The 8,169-nt window shown below is 49.9% G+C and overlaps 1 protein-coding gene across 4 annotated transcripts, besides 3 other annotated features; it reads left to right on the forward strand.

Annotated features, from left to right (window-relative positions):
* Positions 385 to 484: an enhancer, noted in NCBI's record as "active region_1975". NCBI's record gives its function as "activates an Ori minimal core promoter by ATAC-STARR-seq in GM12878 lymphoblastoid cells {active_cell/tissue: GM12878}" and the evidence as "EXISTENCE:reporter gene assay evidence [ECO:0000049][PMID:35858748]".
* Positions 5,970 to 7,955, forward strand: KLHDC9 (kelch domain containing 9). 4 transcript variants are annotated; one of them, NR_033386.2, is made up of 5 exons: positions 5,970 to 6,013; positions 6,275 to 6,671; positions 6,955 to 7,114; positions 7,188 to 7,405; positions 7,670 to 7,955. NR_033386.2 is itself a non-coding variant. In NM_001007255.3 (4 exons), exons 1-3 carry the CDS (start codon positions 6,145 to 6,147, stop codon positions 7,365 to 7,367), a joined length of 867 nt encoding a protein of 288 aa, NP_001007256.1. In that variant the 5' UTR covers positions 5,970 to 6,144; the 3' UTR covers positions 7,368 to 7,405; positions 7,670 to 7,955. The 4 variants fall into 4 exon arrangements, 2 of the variants coding, with proteins under 2 accessions (NP_001007256.1, NP_689579.3); NR_033385.2 differs by having other exon boundaries at positions 7,207 to 7,405; NM_001007255.3 differs by having other exon boundaries at positions 5,970 to 6,671.
* Positions 6,104 to 6,283: a silencer, noted in NCBI's record as "silent region_1466". NCBI's record gives its function as "represses an Ori minimal core promoter by ATAC-STARR-seq in GM12878 lymphoblastoid cells {active_cell/tissue: GM12878}" and the evidence as "EXISTENCE:reporter gene assay evidence [ECO:0000049][PMID:35858748]".
* Positions 6,344 to 6,393: a silencer, noted in NCBI's record as "silent region_1467". NCBI's record gives its function as "represses an Ori minimal core promoter by ATAC-STARR-seq in GM12878 lymphoblastoid cells {active_cell/tissue: GM12878}" and the evidence as "EXISTENCE:reporter gene assay evidence [ECO:0000049][PMID:35858748]".
* Positions 7,956 to 8,169: the final 214 nt, after the last annotated feature.

An 8,169-nucleotide genomic window follows, 5' to 3' on the forward strand; every position in this document is an offset into this window, starting at 1 on the left:
ACATTAAATGAGTGCCACTATGTGTCAGGCTCAAGGGAGGAGACCGAGACACATAACACATAGTCCCTGCCCTCAAGGAGCCTTCAATCAGGAGAGGCAGACACAGAAACAACTGTAACATGCTATATCCCACCATCATGTGTTCCCTACGTATCTCTGTACACATACATGCTATGCACATATGTGGGACTGTCTCTGTATGCACAGCAGCGGATGTTCTTCATGATCTGCATGCATCCAAGCATCCGCTTATACCTGTCTCTGTCCCCATGACAGGCTGCACGCCTCAGCCAAACCGGTTGGAGTGGGTTGTGCTGAAATTTTTGTTTGTGTCAATGGGACTTGAGGTGAGTCAGAGAGGGACAAGGATGGGTGGGGTGGTGTGGGGGAGAAGAAGAGTGAGAGTGAGGGTCAGATTGAGTGGGGGAGGGAAGGAGTGGGCCCAGGTTGGAAGGGGTGGGAGTGAGAGTGGGGTGCAGGAGGATGAGTTGGGGGTAGGAGTAGATGAGAGAGCTCCTTGGTGAGTAATATCCTGTCTGCCTGCAGTGAAGTCCCAGGTCAGAGAAGAGTCAGAGGCTGGGGGAGAGTCCCTTGTGCTTAGGGAGAGAGGAGGGTGAAAAATAAATCAGAGTGGAACTAGTTGGAAGCATGAGAGTGGATAAAATATTTGTGATCCATTTCTGTACAGCTTTGTCTCTGTGATAAGCTATTCCTGATCTGCTCATTGCAAACTTTCCGCAGTTTGTACAGAAAGGTGTTGGGGAGCTGATGACGTGGTGAAAGATTACCAATATGGGCCTTGATCTCACCCCCCAGGACCAAGGCTTCAAAGTCACTCCTCCTGCTCCTCCCTAGGATCACCCCTGCTCCATCCCGGGAGGTATGGGCATACCCCCATACAGAACACAGGGGCTCCAGCAGCTTTTCTTCCCCTAGAAAACACCTTTACTCCCCTCCTGATGGAACTTCACTATGCTCAATATTAGGATGGTGGCCTCCTGTTTTCTAGAAAATTACATCAAAACATTGCCATGTGCTATGTTGTTCTTTGCCTATCCTGCAGGCCCACCGATTCCCCAATACCCAGCCCCCAGCCCCATCCTTTAATGATAACCACATTTCTTGGTTGCCTAACAACCCTTGGAGATCAGGGGGCTGAATTTGCTTGTTCCTCGAGGGCCCTAAAGCTGGAGTGTGCCATCCAGGGGAGGAGGCAGCTAAATGCAAGACATGTTCAGGTCCCGTTTCTCGGTAGGTCCAGTTGTGTGCAGAGCCCCATCCTCCTTGCTCTCAACCCATGAACTTCGCAAGTTTCCATGAACACACTACCATGAAATCCAGGACCACAGTATGGGTTAAGGGACAAATATCTTTATTTTGACACTAAGACCCCACTGTGGGGAAATTCTACTCCCTGAAAAGGCCCTATGTATTGAAGCTCACTCAGGTCTTCATCAAAAATTGAGACCTTATGACTGTGCCCGGGGACCCCAAACTGGTGCTATAGTTCTAGAAAGCAGCCAAAGGGAAGAAGTCTGGCCACTTCTGGAAAGTTCTAAAGCTCCTTGCAGGAAAGTCAGATGGCTGGCTCTGGTCAGCAGGAAAAAAAGGGCAGTAACCCAGAGAGAAAAACACAAAAGTCGAAACAGTGAGAGACAGATCTCAAGGCACAGTGAGAAAAATGGAAACTTAAAGACAGAAAAATATACAAATGCTCCTTGACTTTTATGATGGGGTTATGTCCTGATAAGCCCATTGCAAACTGAACATATAAGTTGAAAATGCATTTAATATACCAGTCGCTAGCCCTAGAAAATATCAAAATTTAAAATTCAAGTATGGGTCCTACCGAACACGCTATCATTTTTGCATCACTGTAGTTTAAAAATTATAAGTTGGGTTGGGCATGGTGGCTCACACCTGTAATCCCAGCACTTTGGGAGGCTGAGGTGGGCGGATCATGAGGTCAAGAGATCGAGACCATCCTGGCCAACATGGTGAAACCCCGTCTCTACTAAAAACTCAAAAAATTAGCTGGGCTTGGTGGTGCGTGCCTATAGTCCCAGCTACTCAGGAGGCTGAGGCAGGAGAATCACTTGAACCCAGGAGGCGGAGGTTGCGGTGAGCCAAGATTGTGCCACTGCACTCCAGCCTGGTGACAGAGCAGGACTCCGTCTCAAAAAAAAAAAAAGAAAAAGAAAAAGAAAAATTGTAGGTTGAACCATTGTAAGTCAGGGATTGTATTGGAGACACACACACACACACACACACATGCGCGCGCGCGCCCGCGCGCGAGTTATTGAAGGGGGAGAATTCAAAGAGACAAAGTGGCTGAAGTGGCCAAGACAAAATCTGAAACAGAGACAGAAGGACCCGAAGAGAAATTTCTGGATGCCATGATTACTCAAAGTCCTTCTGTCTTCTGCCCTCAATTCCCACCGCTCAGCAATGACCCAATGATACTTTCCTACTCAACATTGCCTACTCCCTCAACAACATAAGCTTCTCCCCATCCTTATTCCACCTCTCCATCATTCTCTACCTTGGCTGATTACCACTCCCCTCCACCCTAAAGCCTGCTTACAATTTCACCTTTCTCTCAATCTCCTTCTAGCTCACATTCAGTCAAAGGAGCTCTCAAGATCTGACCTCATGCAGTCTCTTTGCCTGGTCATTTCTCTGTCCTTTTGTCCCTGTCTTTATTCTGGCTGAGCTGAGAGCAAAGAGTCAGAAATGGGGCCAGGATGGCATAGGGCCAGGAAGTCAAGCAGCTAGAATGAGCTGTGTGAGAAATAGAGAAGGGTCAGGGTACAGCAGAAGAAGAGTCAAAGAAAGGGCCTGAAGGATGGGGACAGCCTGGGAGACATGGGCAGAGGGAACTGTGGGAGTCTTGAGTGCGATTAAGACCGTTTGGTGCAATTGTTGGTCTTTCTTTCTTTCTTTCCTTCTTTCTTTCCTTCCTTCCTTCCTTCTTTCTTTCTTTCTTCTTTCTTTCTTTCCTTCCTTCCTTCTGTCTTTCTGTCTTTCTCTCTCTTTTCTTTCTCTCTCTCTCTTTTCTTTCTTGCTCTCTTTTCTTTCTCTCTCTCTTTTCTTTCTCGCTCTCTCTTTTCTTTCTCTCTCTCTTTCTTTTCTTTCTCTCTCTCTTTCTCTTTCTCTCTCAGTCACCCAGGCTGGAGTGCAATGGCACAATCGCGGCTCACTGCAACCTCAGCCTCCCAGGTTCAAGCGATTCTCTTGCCTCAGCCTCCAGAGTAGCTGGGACTACAGGCATGCACCACCACGGCTGGTGAATTTTTTATTTTTTATTTTTAGTAGAGATGGGGTTTCACCATGTTGGCCAGGCTGGTCTTGAACTCCTGGCCTCAAGTGATCCACCCACCTTGGCTTCCCAAAGTGTTGGGATTATAGGCGTGAGCCACCACACCCAGCCCAATTGTTGGTTTTCTGTATGTACCGAATAATGCTAAGAACCAGAGATGGTTCCAGGGTCAGAAAATGGGGTTAAGGAAGGGAGAAGATAGAGTAAGAGCTTTGTGAAAGTTTGAGGCAAGGGGGCGTAGATTTGGGGCTAGGATAGACATCTAAGGCTAGGTAGGAAGCTGGGTGCTTGCTTGCTAGAGATCATATAGACTCTTGGCCAACTGAGACAAAGCCAACATCAGGGGATCACATCAGGATTACGAGACTTTCAGGATATCCAGTCCCTGCTCTCATTTCTGGACAGAGGTTGTCCCTGGATATTATTAGCAGGTGAAAGCAGGTTCACAGCCCTGGCTGCCCTTTTCCCTGTCTCTCACAATTTTCTCTCAGTTCCCCCTTTCACTTATCTTAATGCCCTTTCAGTTTGTGTATCATTGACAAGGTCATTATAGACCACTGCAGATGCTGTCCTGCGGTGTGAAGCATGTGTCATACAAGTCCAGGTTGGCTGGTTTGCTTTCTTCCTCTCTCTGTTTCTCTCTTTCTGGCTTCTTTTCTCCCTCCTCCAAAATATGGATTTGGTTCAAACTAACCTAAGAAGGTAGGAGTCCTAGGCAGTTCCTCTCCCAGGGTCTTGGGATGGCAAAGCAATGGACAGATGCTTCCAGCTATTAGGAGGAACTGGAAGCATCTAGGTACAGAACTGGAGAGGGTACAGCCAAGGAGTATGTGAGGTTCAAGCTCTATGTCTAACTAAGATGCCTACTGCTAAGGACTCAGAGTCAGAGAGGAAGCTGGGAGAGAGGAGCTGGAAAGGCCCGTGGGGTGGGGAGTTCCCATTTCTATCCAGGAAAGGCAGAAAGTAAGTCTAACAGAACAGCCAAGACTTAGGCAAAAGCAAGAGCCTAAAATGGACATATAGGCCAATAAGGTTTAAGCAAAATTGCCCCACCCCTGAGGCAAGCCCTTGCCTAATCCTAGGAGTATGACAGATCTGAATCCAGCTGTTGGGAGGTTAGCCAGTGAGAAAGAAGCCTGAGGGAAAAGACTGACTTTTAAATTTCAGCCAAGGACAGTAAAAGTTAGTGATTTTTTAGAGATTCTTACCATGATTTTGGAAAACTGAGAATACTGCCTGTCATACTCAGGGAAAGCTATAGTTGGGAGGGCAGAGACTTTCAAAGCTATTGTTGAATCTTGGCTTTAAGGTACAGGTGGGGAACAGGTCCTGGTAATCTTCCAATCTCTGTAACTGTGCCTTTCCTGCCCATGCCATCCCCATGCTGTGTTCTCTGAGGACCAAGAGTTGGGAAGAGGAGGGGAAAGCCCTGCTGTGCTATCAGACCCTGCATTACATGCCCATCCTCACTGCAGCCCTGGCCACTGTCTCCTTTCTTCCTTTCTTTATTTCTTTTCTTTTTTTCTTTCTTTCTTTCGCCAGGGTCTCACTATGTTACCCAGGCTGGTCTTGAACTCCTGAACTCCTGGCCTCAAGTGATTCTCCTGCCTGGCCACTTTCTATGGTCTCAGTATCTCAGGTATGATGGGGAGCAAGGTGATGTGTAGAAACCAAAGGCCACAAGTAGCAGTCATCATTCCCACTTACAGCCCAGTCCCAGAGGACACAGATCCTGTTTTTGCCCCACACCAGCTGTGTTGGGAGGAAAATTCTGTCTGTATTTCCTCCTTCAGCTGAAAGCAGAAAGCTTGCATCTGGGCCTCTTCAGTTATCACTTGGTCCTGGGGGACAGAGTTAATATCTGGAAACTGGCTTAAATAAAAGATATCAGGGAAGGGTAGGAGTCTGTTTTTCTCATTTTCTCACTCTTCCCCCACTTCACCCTTCTAAGGCTGCGTGGGTTCTCTCTCTCTCTCTATCTCTCTCTCTCTCTCTCTCTCTCTCTCTCTCTCTCTCTCTCTCTCTCTGTGTGTGTGTGTGTGTGTGTGTGTGTGTGTGTGTGTGTGTCACCTGAGAGACTGGGTTCTGCTACCCTCTAGTGGCCAGAGCTGAAAGGACTCTCCCACCCAATCAATCGGGACCTTCAAGCCTTTGGGAATAAACGAACAGCCTATTTGATGAATGACAAAACTGAGAAGGCCTAGAGAGAAACAATGCCTTTGAGGGTCAGGGGCATAGTTGGGACTAGAACCCAGGTCTCCTGTCTCTCGGGCCAGTGGTCAGTCCACTTTCACTTCCCCACCCTCTGACTTTTGCTTCTCCTTCCTTGCTCATCCCTGGGGTGGTTAGCCCGAGTAAGAAACCCTGAAGCCAAATGATCCCTCCCGGCCCTAGTGGAGCAGCACCTGCACCTCAAATGTCAAAATCGCAAATCAGTTCACAGCGGAGATCACAGGGGTTTATTCTAAGGACCCGACTGTCCTCCGACTTTCTGAGGTTAACAATCTTGCAGGATTTTTATTGACCTGATACAGCTCCCGTAGCCTTGGTGGCACCACCATACGGTTCCCGATAGCCACCCAGGTGTCCTGTCTCCACGGTAACTGCTGCTTTGCGACCTTCGGTTTGCAGCGGTCGCGCTGCAGCCGCTGCAGTGGTTGCTGGGCGACCACGGAGAGAAAGCCGGGACTTGAGGTGGGAACCCCGGCTGGCGTCCGGTAGGGGGAGGTTCCCGGGGAAGCCCGCGGAAGGCGAGGTGCCTGGCCTGCCATGTAGGGGCTCGTTCCAAGCCGCAGACCCCACCGCCCTCCCTCTCCCCGGGGCCCATGGCGGTGGCCGTGCCCCCGGGTCGGGCCGCAGGCTCAGGCTGGGCCTGGAGGCCAGTGGCGCGGGACGCGCTTTTGGCTAGAGCTTTCCATTCATGCACCGAACTGCGGGGACGGTTCTATCTCGTAGGTGGTCTCCTAGCAGGAGGAGCGAGAGAGCCCAGCAGCGATACGGTGGTTTTCGACCCAGCTAGGGGCCAGGCCGTACGATTGGGAGCCCGGGGCAGCCCCCCGCGCAGTCACCACGACGCGGCACCCGTGGACGGGCGTTGGCTCTGCGTGGTGGGCGGCTGGGACGGGTCTCGCCGCTTGGCCACAGTGACCGCACTGGACACAGAGCGCGGTGTGTGGGAGGCGTGGACAGGGACCCCTGGTGACTGCCCCCCCGCCGGCCTCAGTAGTCACACCTGCACCCGAATCTCTGACCGAGAGCTGCAGGTGGCTGGCCGGGAGGGCGGTATCCACACTCAGCGACGCTATGGAAGCATCTACACATTAAGGCTGGACCCCAGCGCCCGCACCTATTGGTATGGCACCCTCCGCCCAAAACCTTTCACTCTCATCCACACTCTCGAAAAACAAAAGCCTAAGCAGATTTCTCAGGCAATTTATCCACCTCCTCACTCTAGCACCCTCCTTCCAGGGGAACCTACCATGTTTAAGCTAGCTGAGCTCTCTACAGTATTACCCTCCCTCTTATCCCACCTACCGCACTGCCCCATGCCTCTTCTCCATCCATCCTTGGCAAGGGCGGTGGCACTTACATTTTCCAGAAAACCCACTCAGCCCTGAATTTCTGCATGTCCACAGCTACAAGCAAGAAGGCTGCCACACAGCCTCACGCTCAGGTCACTGTGCGGCCCTGCTCCAAACTCCTGGACCCCATCCAGGTCATCAGCTATTGCTCTTTGGAGGTTGCAACTTAGCTGAACCAGAAGTAGCTGGGCATTGGAGTCATGGGAAAATTAAGGTATTAGCTCCTCACACATCTTGTTTAGGATGGGAAGAGGCTAAAATTGTGATGCCCAGGTCTCTTCGGACAGTCCTTTCTTTCTCCCCAAGGAGGAACCACCTGTTGCTCCTCATTTGATGGAACAGCTTGCAAGGCTTGTGAGCAGTGGGCAGGGGTCCCAGAAGGGGCCCCATGGACTACGGCATCACTCATGTTCTGTGGTCGGGCCCTTTGCTGTGCTGTTTGGTGGAGAAACTCTGACCAGAGCTAGAGACACCATCTGCAATGATCTCTACATCTATGATACTCGTGAGAGCCAGACTAATGGCTGAAGGGGGGGAAGGTGGGAAGATGGGGGAACCTGAAGACTACAGAAAGAGGATGGAGTGATGGGGTAGGGAGGAGGAAAAATTAGTTGACAGGAGTTAAAGGAGTACACAGAATATTAAGCATTTGAAGAGGCCTACAAATCAAGTGAGCAGAAAAACAATGGGCAAGCCCTTGGTCATGTTGAATTCTGTGAATGACAAAGTGCTACTGCCTCAATAACCACCCTCTGCCCGTATCCAACAGGCACATCTCCTCCTTTGTGGTTCCACTTCCCCTGTGCAGATCGTGGGATGAAACGCATGGGCCATCGCACCTGCCTTTGGAATGATCAGCTTTACCTGGTTGGGGGTTTTGGTGAGGATGGCAGGACAGCCAGTCCACAGGTTTGCATCCTGGACTTTATCTAAATAGTGCCAAGACACATCACTAAGCCTCGTTTTGTTTTGCTTTGTTGCAAACCTATAAAGCGTTATCACCAGAGCTATCTGCTTCACTTCAAATGCTTATTAAATTTCAATCTGAGACTCAAGATTTGTCTCTGAAATTTTTGGGGGGAGGGGGAAGGGCAGTAAATAAGTGGACATACCTTTATTTGCAAGGAAAGGATAAAATAAATATGGGTCCTACTCTCATATTATGAGTCATTAACCTGATGGAAACAAAAACCACACATCATATGCTGTTCCGTGTCTCAAAACAATTTCCACCCCCAAGTGGGAGAAAACTTCAGGCTACAGCTAAGA

Source organism: Homo sapiens, chromosome 1 (assembly GCF_000001405.40).
Source record: "Homo sapiens chromosome 1, GRCh38.p14 Primary Assembly".
Lineage (NCBI taxonomy): Eukaryota > Metazoa > Chordata > Mammalia > Primates > Hominidae > Homo > Homo sapiens.

Bases quoted from the DNA above. Each gene is read 5' to 3' on its own strand.
- KLHDC9 (NM_152366.5), top strand. From the start codon at position 6,145: ATGGCGGTGGCCGTGCCCCCGGGTCGGGCCGCAGGCTCAGGCTGGGCC. The intron at 6,672-6,954 runs GTATGGCACCCT...GCATGTCCACAG, and splicing joins CCCAGCGCCCGCACCTATTG to CTACAAGCAAGAAGGCTGCC. The intron at 7,115-7,206 runs GTATTAGCTCCT...TTTCTCCCCAAG, and splicing joins GGAGTCATGGGAAAATTAAG to GAGGAACCACCTGTTGCTCC.